The 13,169-nt window shown below is 42.7% G+C and overlaps 1 protein-coding gene and 1 long non-coding RNA gene across 9 annotated transcripts in view, besides 4 other annotated features; one reads left to right on the top strand and one right to left on the bottom strand.

Moving 5' to 3' along the window:
- DOCK8 (dedicator of cytokinesis 8) overlaps positions 1–13,169 on the top strand; it is a 253,999-nt gene that overhangs the window by 1,719 nt on the left and 239,111 nt on the right. For 4 of the 8 annotated variants that reach the window (XM_047423932.1, NM_203447.4, XM_047423929.1 and 1 more), the window contains exon 1: positions 1,890–2,054. The exons of the other annotated variants lie outside the window; for them this stretch is intronic. Coding sequence is in view for 1 of the 4 variants with exons in the window: in NM_203447.4 (NP_982272.2) it covers positions 2,002–2,054 (53 nt within the window). In the remaining 3 variants the exon portion in view is untranslated. Of the gene's footprint in view, positions 1–1,889; positions 2,055–13,169 lie in introns of those variants that run through there. 8 annotated transcript variants of the gene reach the window in all.
- Positions 482–2,775, bottom strand: DOCK8-AS1 (DOCK8 antisense RNA 1). The gene has a single exon (NR_160804.1). It is a non-coding gene; the product is annotated as a DOCK8 antisense RNA 1 (long non-coding RNA).
- Positions 1,645–1,894: a silencer, noted in NCBI's record as "silent region_19720". NCBI's record gives its function as "represses an Ori minimal core promoter by ATAC-STARR-seq in GM12878 lymphoblastoid cells {active_cell/tissue: GM12878}" and the evidence as "EXISTENCE:reporter gene assay evidence [ECO:0000049][PMID:35858748]".
- Positions 1,905–1,954: a silencer, noted in NCBI's record as "silent region_19721". NCBI's record gives its function as "represses an Ori minimal core promoter by ATAC-STARR-seq in GM12878 lymphoblastoid cells {active_cell/tissue: GM12878}" and the evidence as "EXISTENCE:reporter gene assay evidence [ECO:0000049][PMID:35858748]".
- Positions 2,005–2,054: a silencer, noted in NCBI's record as "silent region_19722". NCBI's record gives its function as "represses an Ori minimal core promoter by ATAC-STARR-seq in GM12878 lymphoblastoid cells {active_cell/tissue: GM12878}" and the evidence as "EXISTENCE:reporter gene assay evidence [ECO:0000049][PMID:35858748]".
- Positions 2,225–2,364: a silencer, noted in NCBI's record as "silent region_19723". NCBI's record gives its function as "represses an Ori minimal core promoter by ATAC-STARR-seq in GM12878 lymphoblastoid cells {active_cell/tissue: GM12878}" and the evidence as "EXISTENCE:reporter gene assay evidence [ECO:0000049][PMID:35858748]".

The raw sequence follows: 13,169 nt of genomic DNA on the forward strand, positions 1-13,169 counted from the left end.
TCTATGTATCATTCGTTGAGTCTCAGTTTGAAGAAGTACTTACACATTTGTTCTCTTTGTATTTTGCTATCCAAATGTTTGCTCATAAATTCCAATGTAGTAAATAAGGACAGTTTTGAAAGTCAGAAACTCTAAATTTCAAAAAAGCTTTATTTTTCTTTGGGTTTGTTTTCGTATGTAGTCTATTGTAGTCTATGCAGTGAACTTTGTCTTATATGCTTAAAAGGGCACTGATATTTGGTGGGCATTGGGGGGCGGGGAGTTACCTAACCAGTACTGAAAAGTTACTAAACTACCTGACACAGCTGAAACCAGGAAGGAAGGCTGTATCAGGAAGAGACTGAATATAGTCCTTAGGTGGATTTTAGTATTAGGTGACAAATTAGGTTGTATTGGACTGGCACTGTCCAATAGGAATATAATGAGGCTCACAAATGTGAGCCACATGTGTAATTTTACATTTTTAAAAATGCAAACCACATTTTTAAAAGGGGAAAACAAACAGGTGAAATTAACTTTAATAATATATTTTTTATATCCAAAGTATCATTTAACATGCAATCAACATGAAAATCATTAACAAGACATTTTACACGATGTTTTCTGCGCTGTCTTTAAATTCCAGTGTACATTTTACACATCCAGCAGTGGGCAATTCAGACTAACCATAATGCCGAGTGGTCAATAGCCACATGTGGCTAGTGGCTATCATATTAAATAGTGCAGGTTTGAACCAAAAATACTTCGCTTTGGTTGTTTTTTTTTTTTTCTTTTAGACGGAGACTTGCTCTGTCGCCAGGCTGGAGTGCAGTGGCAGATCTCGGTTCACTGCAAGCTCCGCCTCCCGGGTTCAAGTGATTCCCCTGCCTCAGCCTCCCAAGTAGCTGGGACTAAGGCGTGCGCCACCACGCCCGGCTAATTTTTTGTATTTTAGTAGAGACGGGGTTTCACCACGTTGGCCAGGATGGTCTCGATCTCCTGACCTCGTGATGCGCCCGCCTCGGCCTCCCAAAGTGCTGGGATCACAGGCGTGAGCCACCGCGCCCGGCCTGCTTTGGTATTTTTTAAGAGCAAGTTGGTAAATGGAGGCATTATATGGAGAGTGCTCGAGTATATATAGCACAGGTTAGAGCAGCACGCCGGCACCTTGAAGCGAACACGGGCTCCTCCACTCCCGTCAACACTGGGACTTTTCTGTTTTTATCTTGAGTTTGAGGCCGGGCTTCTTAGCAGACCTCAGTCTGAAACTGAAATAAACCTGGACGCAGCGTACCCTTGAATCGCAAGAACGCCGCCTTCAGTGTTTCTCCGGAGAAAAGCATTCACGCCAGGTTGTGACGAAAACATTTTTTGAGAACTCATAATGTTTATTCCTTGGATGAATCCATTATATTTATTTAGTGTCTCAGGAAGGATGATGGGCATATTGCTTGCAAAAGTTGATTTGAATCCTGATAGATTCCACTAACTTTTTTGTCTTTTTTTTTGGCTGCCTTCTTCGAGAATGGTGTCAACCCTTAATAACACCTAGCCTTACGAATCCCTGGGGTGATTCCCGACCTCGCCAGCTTTGTGGGGCTCCCCCGACTTGCCTACATTCCCTGGCAGCCTCGCAGCTTCGGGCAGATGGAGCTTCCGGCCTGCGCGCAGTGGTCGCCTGTCGTCCGCCCGCGCTCCCTTCGGCCGGAGGTCGGCGGCCCCGGGCAGAGCGCGCCGTCTGCCCCAGTATCGGGAGGCCAGTTCCGCGCTGGGCCCACGCCCTCCTCGCCCGCCGCTGCCTGCGCGCCAGGCCGGGTGGCGGAGCCGGCCGTCGCTGCTCCGAGCTCGGACCCTCCCCCGGGGTGATTTCGGCTTAGAAGGTGGAAATGCGGAAGTTTCCAGCGCCGACCGACAGACGAGGTTTGCGCTTGGCTGGGCATGTTCCGCGGCTACTCTGCGGCGCGCCAGGCCCCCGCTTTCCGCACCCCGCGACCCTAGAAGCCACCGAACCGCCGGCGGGCCATGGCCACTCTGCCGAGCGCAGAGCGCCGCGCGTTCGCGCTCAAGATCAACAGGTAAGACGCCCCCCGCGGCGCGCAGGTTGCGGCCGGACAGCCCAGCGCTGGTGTGAAGCGGAGCTTCGCTGCAGGGGCCGAGGCCGGACGAGTCCATTCGCGTCCGCGGCGGGGCGCGCCTGAGACCTGGGGCGCCCGGTTCCCGAGGCTGCGGCGGTGGAGCCGCTGGACGCGCGGCGGCTCCTGCGCTGGGCCCGGCGAGGTCCTCCCCAAGAATCTCGGTGCTCCTGGATGTCCTCAGCCGCCGGGGATCCCTTCCCCGAACAACCTCGCCCGCTCCGCCCTCCAGGTTCTTACAGGTGGCCGGGTCCCAGAAGGGTGATAGGCGCCTGGGTAACCGTGTTGGGCGCGCCACGGAGTGTCTCATAAACGGCTCCTTCCTTTGAGGCAAGTCTGAGCGCGGGGGGAAGAAGTGAAGTGGCTGAAATTAGAGTTGCGTTTGAGGCAGGCTGCAAGCCTTCTGTCGTCCTGAGCAAGGCTCCGTCCTCGCCTGCTTCATTATTCCAGAAAGAGCTTGGCTCCTGGTGGCATCGCTATTTTTATACCCTGGTCCAAAGGAGCCATGAAGTGGAAAAAGTGATTTTTTAAAAAATCTACACTTAAATAAACCAAAAGAAATGGCCTGTGGCTGACATTTTGAGATTTACAGAACTCCAGCAAAAAGCTAAGGACTGGGGGATCCCAACTCACCATCCAATTCCTAATCAAAGTTGCACAAACTAAATATGTAAGCACATTTACTGCTCAAAGTTCTCAGTAAAGGTGCTTTAACTGCAGTTTTTCCTCCACTAAAAACTGCTGACAAGTAATTGGGACATTTTTGTCTTGCCCTGAGAAAGCTAGACTGTCTAGTTAAAAGATAATAGGAAACTCATTCTAAAGTGTCAACTTATTCTATTGCCCACAGGGCTGTCCGATTTGTTAATCTTCACTTAGCTGAGCCTGTGAAAGGTGGATTCCACCGTAGGTTCATCTTTGTGCTGTTAGTGTGTGAAGAGGTTTGAACAAGGAATTAAAAGCCTAGAAAAACAAGGCGATAAGGTCTTCTAGAGGGCATATCGAGCTTTATTGACGATTTTATTTCCACTTGATACGTGACTGCCAGCAAACTGTTTCTCTTACCTTACTATTTCGTCATCTGTAAAATGAGTTTAATTATTTATGTATATTGCATATTAATGTTGGAGGCCAAAAGGTACTAGTCAAAAGGCATAAAGAGGCTGGGTGCCATGGCTCACACCTCTAATCCCAGCAATTTGGGAGGCCCAGATGGGAGGATTACTTGAGCCCAGAGTTTGAGACCAGCCTGGGCAACATAGTGGGACCCCTGTGGCTACAAAAAAATAATTTTAAAACATTAGCCAGGTGTGGTTGCATGCACCTGTAGCCCCAGCTATTCAAGAGGCTGAGACAAGAGCATCGCTTGAGCCCAGGAGGATCACAGCTGTGATCATGCCACTGCATTCCAGCCTGGGTGAGAGAGTGAAACCTTGTCTCAAAAAACAGACAAAAAAAAAAAAAAAAAAGCAAAAACAAGGCATGAAGTATATCAGGGATCTCCCTATGGGAATTTTTTTCTACATTAAGGTTCATAGCTGTTGCATGCCAGGAGGGGTAATTCATTCAAGGAGTATAGGGAATCAAACTGAAGTTACTGATGGGTGTATTATTTGCTATAGCTCCTGATCCTCTGTCTTTGTGAATTTTAGATCAGGAAGTGTGACTGGGGCAGAAAGATGTTAGAAACTATGGGGTTGGGCAGGGTTGATCTGGGGTGAGTGGCCGAGACCCGGACTAATCCTACAGGCAGTCTTGCAAGCAACTGCGGGGTCGGTGTCACCTGGGGGTTAAGAATAAAGGCCCTGGTTAGTGTCTGATCTGCTTGCAAATTGGCTCTCTGCTACAAAGTCACTGTGCAACATTGGACATGTTACTTAACTTCTCTAAGCTTTGGTTTCTTTATGTGCCAAGTAGAGTTGATCATAGTACCTACTTCTTATGACTGTGGGGAGGATTAAATGAATAATAGGTACAAAGTCCGAATTGCCAAGTGCTGGATGTGTAACATACACATTGGAATTTAGAGACAGTACAGAAAAAATAATGCAAAATGTCTTGTTAATGATTTTCATGTTGATTGCATGTTGCTTGTAGTGTCTGGCTCAGAATAAATGGTGAATAATTCTTAGTTGCCATCATTAACATTACAATCAGCTTCACTGCTGTCATTATCTCCATCATCACCATCTTTGAGAGCCTAAGATAGAAAGGTAGGAAGGAAAGCTGAAGTTGGAGAGCTTCAGGCAGAGATCAGTTTGGGTTAGGTATGGAGATGCCAGTGGCTGGCTGGGAGCTTTCTTGGGGCCAGTGTTTCTCCGCCTGTGCCTTCCATCTGGTGCTGAGAACCCAAAACACATTCAATGGAAGAAAATATGTGATGAAATCTGATCAAGAAGAGCCCCCTCAAGTTTAATAAAGTATAAAAGGTTCTATAATCCTCAGGCAAGAAAATGGATTGGAAATTCGTATTCTTAGAGTTCTGTTTTCCTTTTTGAAGCACTCTGTGTGTTGTGTGGGAGAGTTATGCTAAGGAGCTTGGCAGAAATTATTATTCAAAGGAGCAGATTAATAAGGACATACCTAGTATTCATATATCATTTAATTTCACCATTTATTGTTTACTTATTGTGTCCCAGACACTATATTATACAGTTAATGGATTTTATGATTAAATTCTCACAAAAAGCCTATCAAACTCATGAAGTCTTGTACAGAAGAGGAAAAGGAATCTTGGAGATACAGCTGCACAAGGCCATGTAATTTTTTCAAGACCATACAACCAGCAATGGCAGAGCTGGGATTGCAAACTGCTCCAAAGACTGTGCTCTTAATTGGGCCGATTGTTATTTTGATGCATATGTATCCCAAGAATTTCCTTTAAAGCAAGAGGGGAATTAATTTTTAAAAAATCATCATTTTGGTAGCAGCATTGGCAAAGTGTTCTGTTTCTGATTAGTGTTTAATATATAAACATTAACAATGTGATGTTTTGCAATGTTGAAGGTGGAAAAGAAATGTTTTCCCTTACGTGCCTACCTATTATTTTTTTTAAATAGGTCAAATTCCAAAAGTAAGACTGTGTTGAAATATGGCCATTAGTACATTCAGCATGTGCTCATGTTTTTCACCTTACTACTCAGAATAGTGTAAACTATCTCTTAAAAATATTTGTGGGATAAAACCAGTGTGCTTCCTGTTAATGAAGTATTCAAATCTGATATATTAAAAATATTATTTGTAAAGCGTTCAGTTCTGACCACACCAGTCTCCAGAAGGAGTGAGCAGACTATCTCACAGTCTGAGAAGAAAGGTGAAATTAATTTTCTTGTAAGTGCTATATACTTGTCTTCATTTCCATTTTTTTGTTGCTGACTTGCGTGCCAAGGAAAGACTAGATCTAAGTTAGGCAGTTCGTAATAACATTTGCGTTTGGGATTTCAGGTGCTGCTGCATTAAATGTCATAACATGGTACTTGTGGGAACATCTAGTCTTGTTAATTGCCTTTTTTCTTACTGGAATTTAGTGCCTTTGTAGATTATAAAAATTATTACTAGTACTCTGAAAATTTATTAAACAAAATCTTAGTGTCTTTCAAATACAGAATAGATGTAAAATTTGATCAAATATTAAAGTAAAATAAGAACCTTGGATAAAGAGGACGAAAGTGTAGAATGCAGAAAAAAACATTAACCCTCTTGTGGACAGTCAGGATTGAAAGGAAGAAAAAATAATGGCTTACACTTCTAGAATGCTTTCTATGTGGCAGAGACAGTTCTAAATATTTACATATCGTAACTCATTCACCTCTATGAGATAGGAGCAATGACTATCTCCGTTTTACAGATGGAGAAACTGAGTGCAGAGAAGATATAGAAATTGTCCAAACTCACAAACAACTAATTAAGGTCACAGCTGAGATTCAAATGCAGGCAGCCTGGCTCCAGAGTCTTCTCTTTTAATCATTATACCATGCTGCCATCTCAGTTTTATTTTAAAATAATAATAGGTAACATTTATTAATTATTTACTATGTGCTACATATTGTGCTAAGAACTTTATATACCTTCATTTCGTCCTTTCAGAAAAGGAACAAACAGAGCTGGGTGCACTGGCTCACGCCTGTAATCTCAGCATTTTGGGAGGCCAAGGCGGGACGATCACCTGAGGTCAGGAGTTCAAGACCGGCCTGGCCAACATGGCGAAACCCCGTCTCTACTAAAAAATACAAAAATTAGCCAGGTGTAGTGGTGTGCACCTGTAATCCCAGCTACTTAGGAGGCTGAGGTGGGATAATTGCTTGAACCTGGGAGGTGGAGGCTACAGTGAGCTGAGATGTGCCACTGCATTCCAGCCTGGGCGACAGAGTGACACTCTGTTTCAAAATAAAATAAAATAAAAAATAAAAAAGGAACAAAGTATTAGGCATAATAATCATCACCAGAGAGTGATTTTATGAAAGACAAAAACAAGGTGGCAAGAAGAGAGAATAAAGTTACATAAAGATAGCATTTAAGAACAACCACAGGCTGGGCATGGTGGCTCACACCTGTAACCCTAGCACTTTGGGAGGCCTAAGCTGGTAGATGGCTCGAGCCCAGGAGTTCGAGACCAGCCTGGGCAACATAGCAAAACCCTGTCTCTACAAAAAATACAAAAATTAGCCAGCTGTGGTGGCTTGCACCTGTAGTCCCAGCTACTTGGAAGGCTGAGATGGGAGGATCACTCGAACCCAGGAAGTTGAAGCTGCTGTGAGCAGTGATTGCGCCACTGCACTGCAGCCTGAGTGACAGAGCGAGACTCTATTTCAAAAAAAAAGGAACAAACCCAATAATTTTGGGCATAACGACCAGAGCACAATGAGCTACAGAGAGCTTTCTGAGAAGTATTTGCTAATTTTATCTGCAAAGATAATACAAGCATAAAAATATATGTATTCAAATGTATAGATGTGTATCTGCAGTGAGAGCAGAGCTGTTCCTCAGTAGTGGGGGTGGCTGGCAGAGTGAGGTAGTGTGCTTTCAGGAATTGCTTTATTTGTCTGATGTGTTCTAGACCAAAGACCAACAGAGGGGCTTGGGCAATCAGACACAGAATTTTTGGCCTTTCACATTTAGAATCGGTTCCTTCCAGATTCTTGGAAAAGGTCCATTTGTGCTTTAGGCATCTAGTGCTATTCTGAAGATGCCTTACAAAATGTATGCTGAAATAACCTTCTACCAGGGTGAATTTTCTTCATTTGGAGTTCTTTGAGTTCTGACCATTTATGTATATTGATGAAGCTAATGTTTACTTCTTCATAGACCAGTGGAAAGAAAACGTAGTAACATGTAGTTGCCCAGGGAAAGATGAAGAACTCAGGGGACCAAGTCTCCCATCTCAACTCCCCATAAAGGTAGTGATGGAATGGGATGATGTTAAAAACACCTCAACTTTCCGTCCTCTTTAAGGGACCGTGAGAAGGTAGGGATGTTACCATACTCAGACTTCTTGCTGAGAAAGCTAAGAAACAAAAGCATTTAGTTTTTTTCAGTGGCAGGTGCTTATTAACGTTTGGCCTATTTGATAAAGGGTTAAAGCAACAGGAATGTGCTACTGCTGTTCCCACAAGCAGTAGTCTAATTTCTTTCTTTTTTTTTTTTTTTCTTTTTTTGAGACAGTCATGCTCTGTCGCCCAGGCTGGAGTACAGTGGGGCCATCTCGGCTCACTGCAACCTCTGCCTCCCGGATTCAAGCGATTCTCCTGCCTCAGCCTCCTGAGTAGCTGAGATTACAGGTGCGCACCACCACGCCCGGCTAATTTTTGTATTTTTAGTAGAGATGGGGTTTCACCGTGTTGTTCAGGCTGGTCTAGTCTTACCCAGTCAGCAGCAGAAAGGCTCTCTGGGCTCTAGGTAAACACATGAAATTTATATAGTGTGTTTAAGTGTGGTTCCTGTGCTTCTGGAGTTGGCACAGTAGTGGTACCATTTGCTGTATCGACAACAGTGGGGGTATAGACGAAAAACAGATTGACACCTCTGAAAGTATATATGAACACATGTCGATGCAGCATTTCTGGTGAAACTAAGCAAATTGATAAAGTTGGCCTAGGGTACAAGACATTATGTCATGTCCCACTGCATTATGATTAAACCCAAGATTAGAAAGGAGAAATGATGGCAACAGAACCAGTTTCTCCAGCTGTCTATTCTCATGTTCATCATCACAGATAGGAAAGGGCAGCCGGCCCTCTGCATCTGTGGGCACATCCCTGGATTCAGCCAACCACAGATCAAAAATATTTGGAAAAAAATGTAGATAGTTGCATCTGTACTGAACATGTACAGACTTTTTTCTTGTCATTATTCCATACAAAATATAGTATAATAACTATTTACATAGCATTTACATTGTGTTAAGTATTATAAATAATCTAGAGATGATTTAAAGTATACAGGAGGGCTGGCCACCGTGGCTCATGCCTGTAATCCCAGCACTTTTGGAGGCCAAGGTGAGTGGATCACTTGAAGTCAGAAGTTTGAGACCAGCCTGGCCAACATGGTGAAACCCCATCTCTACTAAAAGTACAAAAAAAAAAAAAAATTAGCCAGGTGTGGTGGCAGGTGCCTGTAGTCCCAGCTACTCAGGAGGTTGAGGCAGGAGAATCGCTTGAACCTGGGAGGCGGAAGTTGCAGTGAGCCGAGATCGCACCACTGCACTCCAGCCTGGGTGACAGAGTGAGACTCTGTCTCATTAAAAAAAAAAAAATCATGAACAACTCTGCATGTAAATCAATACAGAGCTGCATTATAATTTACATAGGCTGTATAAAATCCTGTTGATTAGATGTAAAATGATTTATTAAATTAATTTTCTATTATTGGGCATGAAGATAGGTTCCAGGCTGGGCACAGTGGCTCATGCCTGGAACCTGCCTCCCGGTGCTTTGGGAGGCAGACACAGGAGAATCAGTTGAGCCCAGGAGTTCAAGACCAGCCTGAGCAACATAGTGAGACACCAGCTCTACAAAAAGCAAACAAAACATTAGGCAGACAGGGTGGTGCATGCCTGTGGTCCCAGCTACATAGAAGGCTGAGGTGGGAGGGTCACTTGAGACCAGGAGTTTGAGGCTGCAGTGAGCTATGATTGCGCCACTACTCTCCAGCCTGGGCCACAGAGTGAAACCCTGTCTCAAAAAAAAAACACAAAAAACCAAAAGAGATAGGTTCTGACTTTTCACAATAGTGTATAGAGTTTGATGGAGCAGTCTTATACATACTTTTTTCTGCGCTAGTGCAAACACCTCCTTACAAATTTCTAACAGTATAATTGGTCATAGGAAAGAAACATTTTTCAAGCTTTTGATTGCCAAATTGACGCCCAGAAAAGGTATACCTGTTTCTGCTCCTACCAGTGGCCCTACGAATGCTCCTTTCCCCACATTCACACCCCCACCGAGTTTTATCATTCTTTTAAATCTTTATTTGCCAGTGTTGACCTCTTCTCTTAAATGCCTGTAACCTCTTCCTGTTTAGCTTCTCTCCTAGGTCAGAGAGTGAACTCTGAAGTCATTCTTTAGGGATTAAAATAGTCATGCATTTCTCCTTTTTTCTTTGCCTTACATGCAACCATAAATGGTGAGAACTTCTATCCTTTTTCACTTTCTGCTTCTGTTCCTTTAATAGGTGGATTAATGATAAAGGTAGATTGTTCAAACAACTTAGTTATTTCTTAATTTTGTTGTAAGCTCTAGTTGCCAGACTTTAAACTGTGCTTTTTACTTTGCTTAACAATGTAATCCAATCTACCTCCTCCTTTGGGTGCCTAAGCCATAGCCCTTTTAAATAAAATAGCAAATGGAAAATCAGAATCCCTTTCTATCGCAAAATAAGAGTCCAGATTACATAACTCATTGTATGTGTTTTCACTTGGATGAGAGAATAGAGAGTATGGACCTCTTTCATACTTTTTTTTTAATGTTCCTTTTCCTCTAGAATTGGTTTCTGGGGCTAAAAGGAAACAGTAGTTAGTACCACTCTGCTCAGAAACCTCAAAAAACTTCGACTTCTGTCATTCTCATCAAAGGGCAAAATTCATTGTTCTTCTGTGATAGAGACCAAAAATACAAATAGCTAAACTGGAACTAAATTAAGAAAAACAGAAGTTAATAAACTCCACCGCCTCACTCCCATCTCTTCGTAAGTTAGTAGGCTTGTAAGTCCTAGGCTGGTTAGTTCATTCATTTGTTCACTCATGCCAGCCATTGAGGATTATTGTGTTCTAAGTGCTGTGCTAAGCCCCAGAAATACAAAGACAAGTGAGTCATGGGCCTGCCTGCAAGGAGTGAGGAGATTTACTCAAAATTGAGAGCTGGAAAAAGAAAGGCACTTTCCCTGGCCTCATAGCCCTCCGTGACTTCAAAGTATTCCTCTCTGGGGTCATGCCACTAGGGATAATAGCATTATCCAAAAACATTTTTGGAAATCCTTTTAGAATTATTCTCAGGGACTGGAGTACATTTATTTTTAAAAAGAAACTTGGTGTTTTAAAATCTTTTTTTTTTTTTAGGGAGAATCTGCTTTATTATTTGAGAAGTTTCAAAAAATATAGAAAATACAGATGATAATATGGCAAGTATCTAAAGGTCTCCACTTAACAGAATTAACATCTGTTAACATTTTGTCACTTTTGCTTTAGTTGTTTTTTTTTTAATTAAAAAAGAGAACATTACAGATAAATGTGAAGTCCCTGTTATTCTGTTGCCCATTTCTGTTCTCCCTGCTGCTCCCTGAGAGTACTAACACAAAGGTGTACTTCTGGGGTGTGTGTGTATATGCATATCCATAAACAATATATGGTATAGCTTCTGGAGGGATCCAAAGTCATTAGCACTCAAGCAAGCCTATTAAATAAAATAATATCAGCTTGAGTTAAAGATAACATATAGCCGTGAAATAACGGAGCTGATTTTTAGGTACCTTGTCAAATAGTTCTGAAAGTAATTGCAAAGAGGAGTTCCAAAAGTGAGTTCAGAAAGACAGCTTTATCAGAATAAATTGCATGGTACTGCATACAGGAAACTATAAAGAACAACGGTTATTTAGAACTGTTCATTCTGACAGTGTTTTTCAATTACTCCTTAATATTATAACCACTTACTCATTTCCTGAAATCACCAGGAAATTTTTCAAAAAGATTTTTCTCCCCCGATGAATATACCCACGATTTGCATTTGACCCAAGATAAGCAGTTGAGTCGATAACATGTTAATTTTTAAATACATGGTTTTAAAACACAGAATAAAAATTCTACCTCATTGCTTGGAGACTCAATTAAGGAGAGTATGCACATTAGCAAAAAGAAGATGTGATATTTGCTCAGAAGTCTTGAAGTGGATATTTTGGCCTTCGTATGGCTGAATGGTCAAGCTTGACTCTCTCGTTTGCTCAGGGAGGCCCAGTCCCTCTGCTGCCACGGGTAGAAATACTTTTTCCTAAATCGCTGCTTCTTCTCACTGCCATACAGAGCAATATTCAGGACACAGCCAAAACCTTCTTTGGCAGACCTTTTTGAGTTCTCTCTACTCAGCTTTCTGCTGTGTAATATGAGCACTCTAGAGAAGTTGGGCTGTCCTCAGGAAATTACACTTGGGGTCTGTGGTTCCCCAGGAAGACAAACTGGAGCTCCCTAAGGGGTACTAGTCATCATACGGCATTTATACTAGCATTGCAGTCCACTTTCACCTATGCAAGTAGAAAAACTCAGGCTCAAAGTCCACTGACAATGCAGGAGTCCCTTATCTGCTGGTTAACATAAATGTTGTTTTAAGATGATGGCCATCTGTTGTCTGTGAGAACAAGACTATCACCCACCTGTTGACATGCTGGCTGGTTTAATATCTTACTCTTTCATTCCAAATAACTACCTGGTCTCACAGATCCCCTTAGATGGGGTATCCAATTTACCTCCTGTACCTTATTCTCTGTCCAATAATTTCACTCAAATCAACAAGATATTTTATTGCCTATGACTTCCTCTAGGTATTACGGGAGATTCAAAACACAAACAGACAAGCAGCCTATGCCCTCAGAATCCAGCTGGGGTGAGTGGGTGACTATAAATGCAAAAGTTAGAGAGCATGGGGAACAGTGTTTGATTGTGTGGCTGGGGAGGGGTAAGGACAAAAACTCAGAGAGAGAGAAGCCTGTAGCCCTGGCTACAGAAGGGCAACACCTCTGAGGAGATGAGTCTCAGCTGGGCCCTGAAGGGAGGTGACTCACAGATGAAACAAACCTGGTGGGAAGAATAGTTAGCAGTGTGCAGAAGGCATTGGAAGGGATTCCAGGGGAGGAGTGAGGAGGGAGCCACAGTCATTCCGATGTGAGGTAGTGAGATCTGGGATTAGACTGGGTCATCAGAATGGAAAAAAAGGGCCTGCTTCTGCAGACAGTTTAAAGGAATCAGCTGGATGTGGGAAGCAACTACATACTTATTCATTCATTCATTTCATGCATATTGCTTATAGCCTACTATGTGCCTAGCACTATTCTAAGTGCTGAGGATAGAGTCATGAATAAGATAGACAGGGTTCTTATTCTAAAAAAAGTAATATACCAGTGGGGAGACAATGAAGAAATAAACCACTAAATAAACAAGGAAACATCAGATAAAATAAGTGTGATACAGAGAATGTAAACGGGCCATTGAGAGGGCATGGATTCTTTAGATGGGATGGTCAAGGAAAGCATCTCTTAGAGAAAAACCTCTGAGCCAAGATCAAGCAGGGGAATGACGAAGCACATGACTGAGGCAGGAGTAAATTTGATGTGTTGGAAGAAAAGCAAGAACTGGTCTGTCTCTAGTGGAGTGAATGAGGGGAGAGGAGGAGAGCTGAAGAGGGAAGTTAGCAAAGAACGAATCACATAAAAGCCTTAAAGGCAATGGAAAAAATTTAAATGTTATTCAAAGTGCAATGGTGTATTAGTCCATTTTCATACTGCTATGAAGAAATACCCAAGACTGGATAATTTATAAAGAAAAAAAGGTTTAATGGACTTACAGTTCCACATGGCTGG

The sequence above is a fragment of the Homo sapiens genome, chromosome 9 (assembly GCF_000001405.40).
Source record: "Homo sapiens chromosome 9, GRCh38.p14 Primary Assembly".
Classification (NCBI taxonomy): domain Eukaryota; kingdom Metazoa; phylum Chordata; class Mammalia; order Primates; family Hominidae; genus Homo; species Homo sapiens.